Here is a 19,556-nt window from a genome sequence, read left to right on the forward strand (position 1 = left end):
TCCCCATCATCCAGTTACCTCCACCTCATCCCACCCTTGACGTGTGGGGATTATGGGGATTACAATTCAGGATGAGATTTTGGGTGGGGACACAACCAAACCATATCATTAGATCTAATTTTATCTTTTTCAATATGAGGATTCACTTATTGAACATTTTTTTCCTCCATTGATCTATAATGTCACCTCTATCACAGACCAAACCTATGTGTGTCCTAAGTTCTCTATTGTATTGATATGTCTCTTATAACAATACCATACTACTTTATTAGAACATTAAAATGTATTTTGATATGGCAGGATTTCCTTATTATTAGTCTTCAAAAGGGTTTTTGGCTGTTCTTGGTTCCTGTTTTCATTTGAATTTCAGGAGCTTGTCAAGTTCTCTGGAAAACTTCTGTTAAGATGTTGACTGGCATCACATTAAATATGAGGAGGTTGCAGAAAGATACATGTTCAAGTATGTTCATTGTAACACTGAAATAGGGAAAAATGGAAACAGTGAGATTAGTGAACTGTAGTTTAATCATTCAATGGAATACTTTATGGCAGAATACATAAATTGCCATCCATCTTAGTCTGTTTGTGCTGCTGTTACATCAGACGGAGTAATTTAGAACAGAAATTTATTTATTCCAGTCTGGAAGCTGGGAAGTCCAAGATTAAGGCATTTGTGTGTGTGTGTGTGTGTGTGTGTGTGTGTGTGTGTGTGTGTGTGTGTGTGTGTGTGTGTCTGGTGAGGCCTTCTTGCATACTCACATGGCAGAAGCGGGGAAGAGGGCAAACAGGGCCTAAGGTAGTTCCCTCCAGCACTTGCTTAAGGCAGAGCCCTCATGACTTAATCACATCCCCAAAGGCTTCCGCCTCTTAATACCACCACAGTGGAGATTAAGTTTCAATGTGAATTTTGTAGGGGACACACGTTCAGACTGGTGCTCTGCCTCTGCCCCTCGCCCCCAAAAAGTTTATGTCCTTTTCACATACAAATACATTCATTCCATTCCAGTAACTCCAGAAGTCTTAACTTGTTCTAGCACCAGCTCAAAAGTCTAAAGTTGAGTCTCATCTAAACATCATTTCAATCAGATACGGTGAGACTCAAAGATACGCTTCATCCTGTGGCAGATTTCTCTCTAGCTGTGAACCTGTGAAGTCAAACAAGTTACCTGCTTTCAAAACACAGTGTCTACACTGTTGGTGGGAATGTAAATTATTAATAGTACAGCCACTGTGGAGAACAGTATGAGGTTCCTCAGAAAACTAAAAATAGATTACCATGTGATCCAGTAATTCCACTACTGAGTATATATCCAAAAAAAGGGAAATCAATATATGGAAAAGAGACCTGAAGTCCCATGCTTATTGCAGCACCATTCATAGTAGCCAAAATATGGAATCAACTTAAATGCCCACCAATGGAAGAATGGATAAAGAAAATGTGGTATATATGCACAATGGAATATTATTCAGCCACAAAAATAATGAAATCTTGTCATTTGTAGCAACATGGGTGGGACTGGAGGTCATTATGTTAAGTGAAATAAACCAAGGGCAGAAAGACAAATATCACATGTTCTCACTCATGTGTGGGAGTTAAAAAAGTGGATCTCATGAAGATAAAGAGTAGATTGGTGGTTACCAGAGGGAAGGGTAGAAAGGAGGAGGGGGATAAAGATAAGTTAATTAGTGGATACAAATATATGGTTTGATGGAAGAAATAAGACCTAATGTTAGATAGTATCTATCAGTAGGGTAACTGTAGTTTACAATAATCCATTGTAAATTACAAAATAGCTAGAAGAGAAGAATTTGAATGGCTGTAGCATAAAAAGACAAATATTTAAGGTAGTGGTATTCCAAGTACATTGATTTGATCTTTACAAATTATATGAATGTATTACATTATTACATGTACTCAGAAACTATGTACATCTATTATGCATCAAATAAAACACACACACACACATATAGTGCAATGGTGAGAGGCAAGCACAGATGTGTTCATTATGAAGGGAGGAACAGGCAAGAAGAGAGGAGTGACAGATCACAAGTAAGTGTAAAACTCAGTAAGGCAAACAACATTAAATCTTAAGGCTTGAGAATAATTGTCTTGCTTTCTGGACACACTGTGTTGGGGGTTGGGTCCCCAAGGTGTAAGAATTAAAGAAAGAGGAAAGAAACACGAAAGGTGGCTTGCTGGTCAAGACAGATTTATTTTAGAGAAAACAAACCTGAGAGGAACCTTCTGGCAGAGTTAGGCCCACTGTCTTACAACTAAGAGTTTTTAAGGATTCAGGGTGGGAGGCTTGGACTGCTTCTGTGTCTCTTTGTTGTGCTTATCTGGGAGGGAGAGTTGTGTGTCTGTTCCCATACTTTTTTCTGCAGCTACAGGCATACCTCCCGAGTCTGCTTTTAGCTTCCCTATCTTAGTGCACTTGAAGGGAAAGGGATGTGCTTATTAAGGCCCACTGTTTTACTGGGGCCCATTGTATGAGCCTGAAGTTTGGCAGTTACTCAAGAGACTTTCCCCCCACCTCCCTCTGGGCCTGAGCTGTCTTATCTGTGTTTTACTGTCTGCTCTTTCTGGCTGCTTGTAGTTAGCAGAGAAGTTATTTCCTTGAAATGCATGAGGCTAGAAAGGGAGCTGGAACTAAAGTGGCGGTATCTGACCGAGATGTCGGTGCTCCTGCTCTGACACAAGGCTCCTCCGGGTGGCTCCACCCCTGTAGCCTCTCTTGGGTGCAGTCCACACTGTACCTCTCACCGGTTGGAATCAGGTACCCGTGGTTCTCCCAGGCTGGAGTTGCAGGTTGGTGACTATGTGACTATGGTTCTGGGGTTTTGGGGGCAACCCTGCCCCCATAGCTCTACTGGGTGTTGCCCTTGTGGAGACTCTCTCTGGTGGACCTGCCCCTTCCCCCCACCGCGGACACCACTAGGCATTGCCTTCGTGTGGACTCTGCTGCTGACCTGCCCTGTGACAGTTCTCTGCTTGGGCCTCAGGCTCTCTGGTACATCCTTGGAAATTTAGGTGGAGGAAGCCATGCCTCCACAGCCTGCAGAGTTAGCAACATGTGGACACTGGGAAGGCTGCTTACTGCTTGTTCCTTTGGGAGTGGCAGCCTTAGCAGCATCTGGGCCCACTTGAACTACAGGTGGGGTGCAAGGAGCACTGCACTGGAATGCAGGGAGCAGAGACTTGAGGTGGTGCTGTGCAGCAAGCCCTGAGGCTCCACAGGTACCCTGGGCCCCTCCCTTGAAACAGTTCTACCCTCAAGGCCCTAGCATTCTGGACCTGTGGTGGGTATGGCTGTCTCAAAGATCTCAACAGCTTTTGGGGTCATTCTTCCACTGTCTTGACGAAACAGTCACACCTTTGCCACGCCCTTGGATTTTTTTTCTCCTAAGCATGCTTTTTTATTCTTTACCTGGCCTGGTTGAGAATTTTCCAAATCTTTACATTCTATGTCTTTTTTGATTATAAATTTCATCTTCACCTCATTGTCTCTCCTTGGATTTTACTATAAGCAGCCAAGAGAAGCCATGCAGTATCCTGAACACTTTGCTTAGAGATTTTTTTCTGCTAAATATCCTAGTTTATAGCTCTTAAATTTTGCCTTTCACAAGGTGGTAGTGAGAGGTGACAGCGTGCTGGCAGTCCTCAGAGCCCTCGCTTGCTCTCGGCACCTCCCCTGCCTGGACTCCCACTTTGGTGGCATTTGAGGAGCCCTTTAGCCCCCCCACTGCACTGTGGGAGCCCCTTTCTGGGCTGGCCAAGGCTGGAGCCCACTTCCTCAGCCTGCAGGGAGGTGTGGAGGGAGAGGCACGAGCCGGAACTGGGGCTGCGTGCGGCGCTTGCGGGCCAGCTGGAGTTCCGGGTGGGCGTGGGCTTGGTGGGCCCTGCACTCGGAGCAGCCAGCCAGCCCTGCTGGCCCCGGGCAATGGGGGACTTAGCACCCGGGCCAGTGGCTGCGGAGGGTGTACTGAGTCCCCCAGCAGTGCCGGCCCACCGGCGCTGTGCTCGATTTCTCTCCGGGCCTTGGCTGCCTTCCCGCGGGGCAGGGCTCGGGACCTGCAGCCCGCCATGCCTAAGCCTCCCACCCACTCCATGGGCTCCTGTGCGGTCTGAGCTTCCCCGACGAGCACCACCCCCTACTCCACGGTGCCCAGTCCCGTCGACCACCCAAGGGCTGAGGAATGCGAGCGCACGGCACAGGACTGGCAGGCAGCTCCACCTGTAGCCCCGGTGCGGGATCCACTAGGTGAAGCCAGCTGGGCTCCTGAGTCTGGTGGGGACGTGGAGAGTCTTTATATCTAGCTCAGGGATTGTAAATACACCAATCAGCACTCTGTGTTTAGCTCAAGGTTTGTGAGTGCACCAATCGACACTCTGTATCTAGCTGCTCTGGTGAGGACGTGGAGAACCTTTAAGTCTAGCTCAAGGTTTGTAAATACACCAATCAGCACCCTGTGTTTAGCTCAAGGTTTGTGAGTGCACCAATCGACACTCTGTATCTAGCTGCTCTCGTGGGGCCTTGGAGAACCTGTGTGTCGAAACTCTGTATCTAACTAATCTGATGGGGACGTGGAGAACCTTTGTATCTAGCTCAGGGATTGTAAACGCACCAATCAGCGCCCTGACAAAACAGGCCACTGGGCTCTACCAATCAACAGGATGTGGGTGGGGCCAGATAAGAGAATAAAAGCAGGCTGCCCTAGCCAGCATTGGCAACCCTCTCGGGTCCCCTTCCACACTGTGGAAGCTTTGTTCTTTCACTCTTTGCAATAAATCTTGCTACTGCTCACTCTTTGGGTCCACGCTGCTTTTATGAGCTGTGACACTCACCGTGAAGATCTGCAGCTTCACTCCTGAGCCCAGCGAGACCACGAGCCCGCCAGGAGGAACGAACAACTCCAGACGCGCTGCCTTAAGAGCTGTAACACTCACCGTGAAGGTCTGTAGCTTCACTCCTGAGCCAGCGAGACCACGAACCCACCAGAAGGAAGAAACTCCGAACACATCTGAACATCAGAAGGGACAGACTCCAGACACGCCACCTTAAGAGCTGTAACACCGCGAGGGTCCGCGGCTTCATTCTTGAAGTCAGTGAGACCAAGAACCCACCAATTCTGGACACAGTAGGACATGGGTACAATTCAGCCAATTTTTTTGCCATTTTGTAAAAAGAATGGTCTTTCCTCCAGTTTCTGATACGATATTCCTCATTTCTGTTTAAGAGATCATCAGAATGGCTTTTGCTATCCATATTTCTACCAACATTCCATTCTTCCTTTTAGCCCTCACTGGAACTATCCTTAATGCTTCTTTTATGGCAATCTAAGCTTTTCCTAGCATTCACTTCAAAACTACTCCAGCCTCTACCTATTACCCAGTTCAAAAGCCACTTCCACATTTTCAGGTATTTATTATAGCAACGACATCATTTCTTCGTATCAATTTCTGGCTTAGTTCATTTTGTGCTGTTATAACAAAATACCTGAGACTGAGTAATAAAGAACAGAAATTATTTCTTACAGTTTGAAGGCTGGGAAGTCCAAGATCAAAGCACTCATATTTGGGATCTGGTGAGGGCCTTCTGCTGCATCTTCACATGGTGGAAGGGGTGAAAAGAGCAAAAGGGGCAGATCTTGTGTCCTCATATGGTGGAAGAGTGGATAAGCAAAAGGGGCCTGAGCTAGTTCTGTCCAGCCCTTTTATAAGGCACTAATCCATCTGAGAGGGCAGACCCCTAATGATGTAATCACTTCCCCAAAGGCCCTGCCTCTTAATACCACCACAGTGGGGATTCAGTTACAAACCTGAGTTTTGGAGAGGTAACATATTCAAACCATAACACCATGTATGTAGTATTACACATGGAATAATTATTGACTATTGAACCAGTCTTGCATTTCTGGGATAAAATCCACGTCATGATATATTATCCTTTTATAGATTGCTGGATTTAAGTTGCTTGTATTTTGACATGAGGATTTTTGTATCTGTAGTCAAGAGGGATATTGTACTGTAGTTTTCTTCTTTTGCAATATCTCTGTCTGATTTTGGTCTCAGGGTAAAGCTGGCTTCATAAATGAGTTGGGAAGGGCACCCTCCTCTTTATTTTGTAAGAGTTTGTGTAGAATATGACATTATTCCTTTTTTAAATATCTTGATAGAGTTTGTCCGTGAAACAATCTAGGTTTGGAATATTTGTTGTTGGAAGCTTTTTAGCTGTAACATTTGTTGAATAAGGTTTTAACATACTCCATTTCTTTTCTTTTTTCTCTTTACTTTTTTTTTTTTTTTTGAGACTGAGTTTCGCTCTTTTTGCCCAGGCTGGAGTGCAATGGCGCGACCTCGGCTCATTGCAACCTCAGCCTCCTGGGTTCAGTTGATTCTCCTGCCTCACCCTCCCTAGTAGCTGGGATTACAGGTGCCTGCCACCACGCCTGGCTAATTTTTGTATTTTTAGTAGAGATAGGGTTTCACCATGTTGGCCAGGCTGGTCTCAAACTCAGGCGATCCACCCGCCTCAGCCTCCCAGAGTGCTGGGATTACAGGCGTGAGCCACTGCACCCGGCCTCATATTCGATTTCTTTAGTGACCTGTATCATTTATTCAGTACTTTTTTTTCTTTATGTGAGCTTTGACAGTTTGAATCTTTCATGAAGTTTGTCCATTTCATCTAAGTTGTTGAATTTATGGGCAGAATGTTGTTTGTACTATTTCTCCTTATTTTCTCAATGTCTGTAAAGTATGTAGTGAAACCCTCTCTCTTTTTTTTTTTTTTTTTTTGAGACAGGGTCTTACTCTGTCACCCAGGATGGAGTGCAGTGGTGCAGTCGTGGCTCACTGCAACCTCTGCCTCCTGGGTTCAAGCGATTCTTCCTCCTCAGCCTCCCCAGTAGCTGGAACTACAGGTGTGCACCACTGCGCCTAGCTAATTGTTTTGTATTTTTTGGTAGAGATGGCATTTCACCATGTTGGCCAGGCTGGTCTCTAATTCCTGACCTCAGGTGATCTGCTACGTCGGCCTCTCAAAGTGCTGGGATTACAGGTGGGAGCCATCGCGCCTGGCTGGCTTTTTATCACTTTTGTTACTTTTTCAAGGAACCAGCTTTTGGTTTTACTGATTTTTTGTTGTTGTTGTTCTCAATTTCATTGATATCTGCTCTTTATTATTTTCTTCCTTCGTTTTGTTTGAATTTAATTTCCTAGTCTTTTTATGGTTTCTTAAGGTGGCAGCTTAGATTTGTAGTCTTCTTTTCTAATAAGATATAATGCAATAAATTTCCCTCTAAGCACAGTGTACAGGCATCCCACATTTTTGATATATTTTCATTTTTATGCAGTTCAAAATATCTTCTATTTTCTGTGATCTCCTCTTTAGCCAATGGGTCATTTAGAAGTTTTGAGTTTTTTAAGGCTGGGAGTGGTGGCTTCTGCCTGTAATCCCAGCACTCTGGGAGGGTGAGGGTGGTGAATCACTTGAGCTCAGGAGCTGGAGACCAGCCTGGGCAACATGTTAAGACCTCATCTTTATAAAAACTAGAAAAATTAGCCAGGCATGGTGGCGTGTGCCTGTAGTCCCAGCTACTCAGAAAGCTGAGGTAGGAGGGTTACTTGAGTCTGGGATATAGAGGCTGCAGTGAGCCAGGATGGCGCCACTGCATTCCAGTCTGGGTGACATAGTGAGACCCCATCTCAAAAAAAAAAAAAAGAAATTTTGAGTTTTTTTTTTTTCAGATTGTGACTATTAGTAATTCCTTTCCCTCTTCGTCGTCATCGTCGTCGTCGTCGTCGTCGTCGTCGTCGTCTTCTTCTTCTTCTTCTTCTTTCTTCTTCTTCTTCTTCTTTCTTCTTTCTTCTTCTTTTTCTTTTTTTTGAGATGGGGTCTCGCTCTGTCACCTAGGCTGGAATGCAGTGGTGCACCATCTCAGCTCACTGCAGCCTCCATCTCCCGGGTTCAAGCGATTCTTGTGCCTCAGCCTCCCAAGTGGCTGGGACTACAGGCACACCACCACACCCAGATAATTTTTGTATTTTTAGTAGAGACAGGGTTTTGCCATGTTGCCCAGGCTAGTCTTGAACTGCTGGACTCAAATGATCCACCTGCCTCAGCCTCCCAGAATGCTAGGAGTACAGGTGTGAGCTACGGTGCCCAGCCAGTAATTTCTAATTTAATTCCATTATAGTGAGATAGCATACTTATATGATGTCAATTTATTTAAAATAGTTAAGGTTTCTTTTATAGCTCAGAATGTCGTCTCTCTTGGTGAATGTTCCATGTGCACTAGAAAAAAGCGCTTATTATTCTGTTGTGGGGTGTAGTGTTTTATAAATGTCAATTTAGTCAAGTTGGTTGATATTGTTGTTCAGGTCTTCTATGTTCTTACTGATTTTCTGTCTGCTTGTTTTCTTCATTACTGAGAATGGTGTTGAAGTCTCCAAATATAACCGTGGATTTGTCTCTATTTCCTTGAAGTTGTCAATTTTTGCTGCTTGTATTTTGGAGTTCTGTTGTTAGGTATACACTTAGGATTGTTATGTCTTTGTGGTGAGTTAACTTCTTTATCATTATATAATGTCCTTTTTATTCCTGGCAATATTCCTTATTCTTTAGTCTGTTTTGTCTGATATTAATGTCGTCACCCATATTTCTTTTGATTATTGTCAACATGGCATGTATTTTTAAAACTCCTTTTTTTTTAGGGGCTGGGTGCGCTGGCTCACGCCTGTAATCCCAGCACTTTGGGAGGCCAAGGTGGGTGGATCACAAGGTCAGGAGTTCGAGACCAGCCTGACCAACGTGGTGAAACTCCGTCTCTACTAAAAAGGCAAAAATTAGCCGGACGTGGTGGCATGTGCCTGTAATCCCAGCTACTTGGGAGGCTGAGGCAGGAGAATCGCTTGAACCCAGGAGGTGGAGGTTGCAGTGAGCCGAGATGGCACCACTGCACTCTAGCCTGGGCAACAGGGCAAGACTCTGTCTCAAAAAAAAAAAAAAAAAATCTTCTTTTAAAGTATTTTTTTGGAGACAGCATCTCACCCTGTCATTCAGGCTGGAGCGCAGTGGCACAATCATGGCTCACTGCAGTCTTGACTTCGTGGGCTCAGGTGATTCTCCCACTTCAGCCTCCTGAGTAACTGAGACTATAGGCATGTGCTACCACACCCAGTGAAATTTTTGTATTTTTTATATAGAGACAAGGTTTTGCCATGTTGTCCAGGCTGGTTTCAAACTCCTGGACTCATGCAATCTGCTGGCCCCTTGGCCTTTCAAAGTGCTGGGATTATAGGCGTGAGCTACCATGCCTGGCCAAAATTTTTTTTCTTTTAAACTGTTGGTGTCTTTTCTTAAACTGTGTGTGTGTGTGTGTGTGTGTGTGTGTGTGTGTGTGTGTGTGTGCGCTGGCAGTTGATCTTGTTTGGCCTTGCTATTTTAAAATCCAGTCTTAAAATCTCTGACAATGGTACTTAGTCCATTTACATTTAAAACAATTATTGATATAGTTAAATTTAAGTCCATCATCTTGTTTCCTGTTTATCCCATCTGTTCTTTGTTTGCTTTTTCTCTTTTATGCCTTCTTCAGACTTTTTAAAATGTTTCCATTTACTCTTCTTTGTTGGCTTATGAACTGTAACTCTGTTGTTATTTTATTGATCTCTTTATGGTTTATAGTATATGTCTTTCACTTATCACAGTCTACTTATACTACTTTATGTGTAGTATAGAAACCTTATAATAGTTTGCTTTTTAAATTTCCCTCTAAGCCTTTATCCTATTGTTGTCAAACATTTTACTTTTATATATTTAATAAACCCCTGAATATAATGTTATTTTTATTTACAGTCAACAATTTTAAAGAGATTTAAATAGTAACTAAAAAATCTTACCCATCTACTTACTATTTCCAGTGCTCTTTGTTTCTTTATGTAAGTTTCTATTTTTTCTAGTATTTCTTTCTAATTATTCTCCACTACTGAGGAAAGATACTACTGTGTCACCTATCTAATACCTGTTGAATTACAAGTTTTCCATCAGTTTGGCTGATGGGAACAGACACCATTCTCAACCTTACATGTGAGCATGTACTGTTTTCTAATCCTTTCAAATGTTTTTATCCCTGGCCTTTGGTAGTTTCCATACAGTTATGTGCTAATTAGTACTCTGGCAAATAGTCAAATACTCAGGAGCACTCTGTGTAGATTTCTGGGATTATTTCTCTGTGGAATTCTTTACTTTTTAGTACTCTGTCCTATAAGCTATAGCAGCATTGATTTTCCTAGATGCTTAGTTCTGTCTTCTCAGCTTCATAGAGTTTGGCCCCATTTTGATTCTCCTTCCTTTACTGTGGCCTGGAAACTCTGTCAAGGAAGTAAGCTCTGACACATATCATCACGTCACTTGCTTCCCATCTATCACAGATTATTGTCCTTCATTACCTGATGTCCAATATCTTGAAAACCATTGGTTCATTTATTTTATCTGGTTTTTTGTTTGCTTTGGATGAAGGGGTTAACCCAACGACCTGGTTATTTTTGTTTTAGATACAGATTTTATTTAATTTACTTATGTTAATAAAGTATTTTTGAAGTAAGTATAAAAGTATCATAGTTTTTTTTTTTTTTTTGCCTTTAGGGTTAAGTAGTACTTTGATTATAATAGATAGAAGAAAAAGTGGTATTGCCTGGCTTCTCTTGCAGAGAACAAATTACTTAGATGTTTAACTTAATTACGCACATATTTACAGTACAATATTAGGTTCTATATTACAGTTATATTTACTTTTTTATATTTATATTTAAGTTCACTTAGGGCAGTTACCTAAGTGAACTTTCTTTCATATATGTGCTCCCAGAAAGTCTATTGCTTTCTGCTCTATTTTTGGGAGAGGACTATCTCCTTTTGGGAAAGGACCTCACACCTGTTATATATATGAGTAATATATATGAGTAGATCTTGAAAACATGTAATGTCAAGTTTTTTAATTTTTTTTTTTTTTTGAGACAAAGAATTCTGTTGCCCAGGCTGGAGTGCAGTGGTGTGATCTCGGCTCACTGCAACCTCTGCCTCCCAGGTTCAAGTGATTTTCCTGTTTCAACCTCCTGAGTAGCTGGGATTACAGGCGCCTGCTACCACACTGTTCTGTGTGGGAAACATGCAAGGGGAGAAGAAAAGACAAACACACACAATCCCTTTAATGGTAAACAACCTTTAACCCACGTAAATGGCAATGCAGATATAATAAGCAAATAATATAAGCAAATGGATATAATAAGCAAATTGCAATGGGGAGGGGATAAGGGAAAAGATACATATATATTTATACTCACCAGACTATGGAGGATTCACCACCAGACTGGCAAGCAACAGCCTGGGCTCCAGAGTCGGCCACTTGTCCGTTCACAGATGAGGAGAGGTCTTTCATGAAGCTTTGGCGCAGCGTGGGGCCCTAGCTGTTTTTGTAACGAGTTGTTTGGCATGAGGCCCAGTCAAGAGGGCCCTGCACTACTGGGCTCAATGAACACAATAAGGTCAACTTGTTTTTGTGATTGTCTATTGTTTTTCAATAACTAACATATAGGAATAGATTGAAATAGAGATTTCTCTGAAATGGTGCTGGATGAACGCCTCAAGGGGCTCACACAACCTCTTCTGGGACTTGGTGACCATTGTTTGTGTCCACATTCAGTTGAGTTCAAATTTAATATTTAACTTTTCCTCCACACACACCTGGCTAGTTTTTCTATTTTTAGAAGAGATGGGGTTTCACCATGTTGGCCAGGCTGGTCTTGAACTCTTGACCTCAAGTGATCCACCCACCTTGACCTCCCAAAGTGTTGGGATTACAGGCATGAGCCACGGTGCCCGGCCTGATTTTTAAATTAGGAACTTTTAGCTTGTTTTTTATACAGTTGGTCAGATACTGTTAAGTCAGATAGAATTTGGATGGTATATCCCTCTCTCTAACCAAAATGCAGATTCAGTTGTTTGCTGCTTGCAGAATCCAGTCAACAAGAACAAAGTCTCGTATAAAGTAACTTTTTATTCCAAAGGTAGCTTAGGGGAAGGCTTCCTGCTTTAAGGATGCTGCTTTGCTTTTGGAGCAGAAAGGGGGAGCACTTTTAAAAGGGGGCCTAACATAAATGGCATGCAGGAGAGGAAGGAAGCAGGTGGGGATCTGCATGTTGGCTTGGTGCCTTATCTGCTGGGAGATCTAGTTGATGACTGCTGATACCTTTGTGGGCAGGATTAAGTTGTAAAAGTGGCTAAAAACCCTCCAGGTTAGTAGAGAGTTTTGTAGTGGGCACACTTTGGGTTGTAGCTGGACTGTTGTCTCTTGAGGCAGCCTTCCAGTAGGAGAGAGTTTCACAGTGGACACACTTTGGGTTGTAAGTCAACTGTTTTCTCTTGAGGCAGTCTCCTGGTGGGTGAGAGTTTGTTCTAGAGCTTTTTTTTTTTTTTTTTTTTTTTTTGAGACAGGGTCTCACTCTTTCACCCAGGCTGGAGTGCAGCAGCATGATATTGGCTTACTGCAACCTCTCCCTCCTGGGCTCAAGCAATCCTCCCACTTCAGCCTCCCAAGTGGCTGGGACTAGAGGCACACGCCACCATGCTTGGCCAATTTTAAAATTTTTTGTAGAGACAAAGTCTCACTTTATTGGCCAGGCTGGTCTTGAACTCCTTGAGTCAAGGGATCCTCCCGTCTCCTCCTACCAAAGTGGTGGGATTACAGGCATGGGCCACCGCACCCGGCCTGCTCTGGATCTTTTAAGCACATATTTAGATGAATTTGCCCTGTAAGAGTTTTAGGTGAAGGGGAAGTAAAAAGTTATAATTGAGGCCGGGCACAGTGACTCATGCCTGTAATCCCAGCGCTTTGGGAGGCCGAGGCGGGTGGATCACGAGGTCAGGAGATTGAGACCATCCTGGCTAACACGGTGAAACCCCGTTTCTACTAAAAATACAAAAAATTAGCCGGGCGTGGTGGTGGGCGCCTGTGGTGCCAGCTACTCGGGAGGCTGAGGCAGGAGAATGGCATGAACCCGGGAGGCGGAGCTTGCAGAGAGCTGAGATTGCGCCACTCCACTCCAGCCTGGGCGACAGAGAGAGACTCAGTCTCAAAAAAAAAAAAAAGTTGAATTTTAAAGGGCTAAGTAGGAAGTGGAGAACAGGGAGACATGGAGAAAAGAGAAAAACATAATAAAAAATATTTTCTTTTTCTTAGAAAAATGTGGGTACTTGGTTACATTTCTGCTTTTCTACTTTTAACTTAAATTTGGATTTTGCCTTAAAAAAATCTGATTTGACAATCCTTGTCTTTCAGTAGGTATGCTTAGACTATTCACAGTTGTTTTAATTTTTGATATGGTTTTATTAACGTCTACCACCTTGCTAATTTTTTCTTCTTCTTTTTTTTCTGAGACAGGGTCTCGTTCTGTTGCACAGGCTACAGTGCAGTGGCACGATCTTGGCTCACTGCAGCCTTGACCTCCTAAGCTCAAGTGATTATCTCACCTCAGCCTCCTGAGTAGCTAGGAACACAGGTGTGTGCCACCATGTTTGGCTAATTTTTGTATTTTTTGTATACATGGGGTTTTACCATGTTGCCTAGATTGGTCTCAAACTTCTGAGCTCAATCAAGTGATACGCCTGCCTCAACCTCCCAAAGCATTGGGATTACAGGCGTGAGCCATCGCAGATTATAGGCGTGAGCCATCTCACCCAGATGCTAATTTTCTATTTTGTGTTACTTTTTACAAACCCCTTTCCTACCCAACAGTGTTTGAGGTAGATATTATTGTCCTCGTTTTTTGGAGAAGTTAAAGATAATAGAGAATCTTACTCAATGAGTAGGTAGTTGGCCAGGCACGGTGGCTCATGCCTGTAATCCCAGCACTTTGGGAGGCTGAGGGGAGCGGATCACAAGGTCAAGAGATCAAGACCATCTTGGCCAACATGGTGAAACCCTGTCTCTACTAAAAATACAAAAACTAGTACTAGTGACTCAGGAGGCTGAGGCAGGAGAATCACTTGAACCAGGGAGGCTGAGGTTGCAGTGAGCTGAGATTGTGCCACTGCACTCCAGCCTGGTGACAGAGCAAGGCTCCGTCTCAAAAAAAAAAAAAAAAAACAACAGTTAAGTGACAGAGCTGGGGCCCAGGTCTTCTGAATTGGAGTGTGCACCGAATAAATATTGGTTTGAAATGTGAACTACTCTTTTGCTTACTGCTGAAACATTTACATGAAGACATCTTTTGAGATGTTTTCATATTGCCTGTAACTTTGTCCTCCATGGTTATTTTTTTTCCCGGTAATTGTTTATGATCAGAAGACAATGTGGTTTAATCTCTCTGGGCATTTAGACTGCCTGTTTATAGATGGGCACATAGAATTTTTAATGCTAGAGCATAATTTGGAGGTCATTTACTACCAACTCTTCATTTTATAGTTGAGGTATACCTTAAGACCTTTGGAACAGTGACTCAGATTTCTGTTTTAAACCCTTTCTTCACTAGCTAAGAGCACTGACCTCATTTGATTAAAAGATGAATGGAATAATGGATTAATTTGATAAATGAGATTAGGTAGGCTTTTGTGTTTTCTTTTCTATGGCTTTACATGCTTTTGGATCCTTTTGGAACGTGAGGTTGGCAAACTATTGCCCAAGGGTTGGCAGCTTGTTTTGGTAAATAAAATGTTATTGGAACATACCACACTAATTTATTTACTTATTGCCTATGGCGGCTTTCACTCTACAAAAACAGAATTGAGTAATTACAACAGACTGCATGGCCCTCAAAGTAGAAAATACTATCTGGCTCTTTAAGGCAAATTGAGGCTGGGCACGGTGGCTCACGCCTGTAATCCCAGCACTTTGGGAGGCCAACGCAGGCGGATCACTTGAGGTCAGGGATTTGAGACCAGGTTGACCAACGGGGTGAAGCCCTGTCTCTACTAAAAATACAAAAAAAAAAAAAAAAGCTGGGTGTGGTGGCAGATGCCTGTAATCCCAGCTATTCAGGAGGCTGAGGCCGGAGAATGGCTTGAACCCAGTGGGTGGAGGTTGCAGTGAGCGGAGATCACACCACTTCACTCCAGCCTGGGTGAAAGAGTGAGACTTCATCTCAAAAAAAAAAAAAAAAAAAAAAAAAAAACAAAACCAAACAAATTGAGTCCTTTAAGAGAGCCATAGGTTTTTATGGATATATAAATTTATGTTTTTTTCTCAACCAAATTATTAGCAAACGTGTGTATGAATAATGACTAAATTAAATAATTAACTTGAGATTTCATTCAAACCAAAACAATGAATGAATGTAAATTTTTTAATAGCTGTGTTTTGGCTTTACACACCATATGATAGCCTAAATATAACTAACACATAACTATTTGAATTCCAGTTTGAAAGGTGAGAGGGAGTAGTTACTTATGAATGCTTGAGAAAATGGTGCTGTCCTTAGCTGCAATACGGAACCCAGGATGGGAACAGGTGAATAGAGTTCATGGAGAAGAGCTGGGCAGGAGGCAGACAATTATTTAGAACTTTCAGTTTTGTCTAGTAATGACTGGTTTATCTTTTACCAGTTTATGATAAGCTATGAGCAGGATCTTTTTGTCAGGCAATTAGAAAGATGTATAGGTTCTTTCTTATAATGCAAATACTTTTTTTCTTTCTTTTCTTCCTTCTTCTTCTTTTTTCTCTTCTTCCTCTTCCTCTTTTTCTTCTTCCTCTTCTTTTTTTTTTGAGGCATAGTCTCACTCTGTTGCCCAGGCTAGAGTGCAGCGGTGTGATCTTGGCTCACTGCAGCCTCTGCCTCCCAGGTTCAAACGATTCTCCTGCTTCAGCCTCCTGAGTCACTGGGACTACAGGTGCGTATCACCACACCTGGCTATTTTTGTATTTTTAGGAGAGATTGGGTTTCACCATGTTGGCCAGGCCAGTCACCATCTCCTGACCTCGGGTGATCCACCCACCTCAGCCTCCCAAAGTGCTGGGATTATAGGAGTGAGCCATCGCCCCTGGCCCATTTTTTTCTTTATAAAGGGACTTCGTTTTTTTTTTGTTTTGTTTTTTGTTTTTTTAAATCTGCATGCATTTGTGTTTGTTGTTTATATGTGCATATGTATGTGGAAGTGAATGAGGGAGAGAAGAAAGGAAGAAAAAGCTGTTTAAAAATTCTAGTCTTGGGACTTCCTTGGGCAAACCAAACACCACATGTTCTCACTCATAAATGGGAATTTAACAGTGAGAACACATGGACACAGGGAGGGGAATATCACACACTGGGGTCTGTTGGGGTTGGGGGCAAGGGGAGGGAGAGCATTAGGACAAATACCTAATGCATGCGGGGCTTAAAACCTAGATGACGGGTTGATGTGTGCAGCAAACCACCATGGCACATGTATACCTATGTAACAAACTTGCACATTCTGCACATGTATCCCAGAATTTAAAGTATTTAAAAAAAAGTTTACAAATGTTATCTATGTATTATAATTAATAATATGAAAAATTCTTGTCAGAAATATACATTGGCAAATAGTTTTTTAATGACAATAGGAAGAAAACCTGTAAGGTAGATGTTCTTCTTTGTCTCTGAAACTGTTAATGCATTACCATAGTTTTGGAAATTATATTTCTCATCATGGACTCAATTTCCCATCCTGTAATTAGGTACTCTAAAAGAAAGAGGTTTAGGTTTTTGTAAAGTGGAACTTTAACACTGGTAATTAGAGTTAACCCTTTTTTTGTCATTGAGAAAGTGGGAAGTGATTACTTGGATTTATTTAGAATAATATTGAGTAGGAATTTTAACTTAGATTAAGAGTTTCTGTATTGATAAATCTTAAGTTTTTTTAATATTATAAACTTACATACACAGGAGAGAGTTTATAAAATGTATATGTACAGTTTAAAGAATTTCAGTACAATGGACATTCATGTACCACTATCCACCTTATGAAATACAACATAAAGTGTTGATAAGTATTTTATATTACCTTATTTCTAATCTGAAATGAATTCAAGCTAACATAGTTATAAAATCTCAGGGTAAAGAAGTTTTCTGGTTGTTTTTTTAAGACTTAAAAAAGCAATAGAGAGTATTTAAGGGATTATGTGTTGAGATTAGGAAGAGGTTAAAAAGGTTCATCTTTAATGCTGGTATTAAAATACTATATATAATAAATTCTTAAACCAAGATAATTTCTCGTTTTCATTAAAACATTGTCATTTAATGTTTTAGGACCGTGCAGCCTGGATTTTTTGAGTCAGTGCTGATTTTGATATTTTAATTGTTTCTTGAAACCATTGAAAATTATGGGAATTGCAGAATTTTTGTTATTTTGGCTAGACTACATTTTCCTCCAGGTTGACTCATCTGGGAATAATATGCAGATTCTTTCTTGGACTTTGGTTTGAGAAAATGTCTTCACGGGTATGGAGAAAAGGATGAAAAATTAAGAGATCCTGCTCTAAATCACCATTTAATTATTGGGTCAAATGGATGTAAATTTATACTTTTGATAAATTTTTGCCAGATTGTTCTCATATATAATACGCTAATTTGTACTCCTTCCATCAGTATGAGAGTATCCATTACTTTTTATTTTTTAATTTTTTAATTTTTATTTTTTTTAGTATTTATTGATCATTCTTGGGTGTTTCTCGGAGAGGGGGATTTGGCAGGGTCATAGGACAATAGTGGAGGGAAGGTCAGGAGATAAACATGTGAACAAAGGTCTCTGGTTTTCCTAGGCAGAGGGCCCTGCCGCCTTCCGCAGTGTTTGTGTCCCTGGGTACTTGAGATTAGGGAGTGGTGATGACTCTTAACGAGCATGCTGCCTTTAAGCATCTGTTTAACAAAGCACATCTTGCACCGCCCTTAATCCATTTAACCCTTAGTGGACACAGCACATGTTTCAGAGAGCACGGGGTTGGGGCAAGGCCATAGATTAACAGCATCCCAAGGCAGAAGAATTTTTCTTAGTACAGAACAAAATGGAGTCTCCTATGTCTACTTCTTTCCACACAGACACAGTAACAATCCGATCTCTCTTTCTTTTCCCCACACTTCCCCACTTTCTATTCGACAAAACCGCCATCGTCATCATGGCCCCTTCTCAGTGAGCTGTTGGGTACACCTCCCAGACGGGGTGGCGGCCAGGCAGAGGGGCTCCTCACTTCCCAGACGGGGCAGCCAGGCAGAGGCGCCCCCCACCTCCCGGACGGGGCGGCTGGCCGGGCGGGGGCTGCCCCCCACCTCCCAGATGGGGGGGCTGCCAGGCGGAGACGCTCCTCACCTGCCAGACGGGGCGGCTGCTGGGCGGAGGGGCTCCTCACTTCCCAGACGGGGCGGCTGCCGGGCGGAGGGGCTCCTCACTTCTCAGACGGGGGCAGCCGGTCAGAGACGCTCCTCACCTCCCAGACGGGGTGGCGGCGGGGCAGAGACACTCCTCAGTTCCCAGACGGGGTCGCGGCCGGGCAGAGGCGCTCCTCACATCCCAGATGGGGCGGCGGGGCAGAGGCTCTTCCCATATCCCAGACGATGGGCAGCCGGGCAGAGACGCTCCTCACTTCCTAGACGGGATGATGGCCGGGAAGAGGCACTCCTCACTTCCCAGACTGGGCAGCCGGGCAGAGGGGCTCCTCACATCCCAGACGATGGGCGGCTGCGCAGAGACGCTCCTCACTTCTTAGACGGGGTGGCGGCCGGGCAGAGGCTGCAATCTCTGCACTTTGGGAGGCCAAGGCAGGCGGCTGGGAGGTGGAGGTTGTAGCGAGCCGAGATCACGCCACTGCACTCCAGCCTGGGCAGCATTGAGCACTGAGTGAGCGAGACTCCGTCTGCAATCCCGGCACCTCGGGAGGCCGAGGCTGGCAGATCACTCGCAGTCAGGAGCTGGAGACCAGCCCGGCCAACACGGCGAAACCCCGTCTCCACCAAAAAATACAAAAACCAGTCAGGCATGGCGGCGCGCGCCTGCAATCCCAGGCACTCGGTAGGCTGAGGCAGGAGAATCAGGCAGGGAGGTTGCAATGAGCCAAGATGGCGGCAGTACAGTCCAGCCTCGGCTTGGCATCAGAGGGAGACCGTGCAAAGGGGAGAGGGAGGGGGAGGGGGAGGGGGAGCTATCCATTACTTTACTACCTGGCTAGCATAGTATGTCATCAAACTTTTGGTCTTTGCAAATATGATAGGTAGAAAAAAGGTGTTTCAGTCTAGTTTTCTTTCTTTTTTGGCCTGTGTGTTATTTAGAGGTATGTTATTTATTTAATTTCTAAATTTGGGGAATTTTTAAAGGTATCTTGTTAATGATTTCCAGCATAATTTTATTATGTTTTTTTTTTTTTTTTTTTTTTTTTTTGAGACGGAGTCTTGTTCTGTCTCCCAGGCTAGAGTGCAGTGGTGCGATCTAGGCTCACTGTAACCTCTGCCTCCTGGGTTTGAGTGATTCTTGTGCCTCAGCTTCCCGAGTAGCTGGGACTTACAGGCACGTGTCACCATGCCCAGCTAATTTTTGTATTTTTAGTAGAGATGGGGCTTC

The 19,556-nt window shown here is 43.2% G+C and overlaps 1 protein-coding gene across 1 annotated transcript in view, besides 1 other annotated feature; it reads left to right on the forward strand.

The window, feature by feature from the left end:
* The window catches only part of UBR3 (ubiquitin protein ligase E3 component n-recognin 3), a 256,678-nt gene that overhangs the window by 10,262 nt on the left and 226,860 nt on the right, over positions 1-19,556 (forward strand). The gene's annotated exons all lie outside the window — the stretch shown is intronic.
* Positions 2,438-2,662: a silencer, noted in NCBI's record as "fragment chr2:170696663-170696887 (GRCh37/hg19 assembly coordinates)". NCBI's record gives its function as "represses an EF-1alpha promoter that drives an FKBP-Casp9 reporter gene in an ReSE screen in phorbol 12-myristate 13-acetate-treated (for megakaryocytic differentiation) K562 erythroleukemia cells {active_cell/tissue: K562(+PMA)}" and the evidence as "EXISTENCE:reporter gene assay evidence [ECO:0000049][PMID:32094911]".

Source organism: Homo sapiens, chromosome 2, assembly GCF_000001405.40.
Source record: "Homo sapiens chromosome 2, GRCh38.p14 Primary Assembly".
Lineage (NCBI taxonomy): Eukaryota > Metazoa > Chordata > Mammalia > Primates > Hominidae > Homo > Homo sapiens.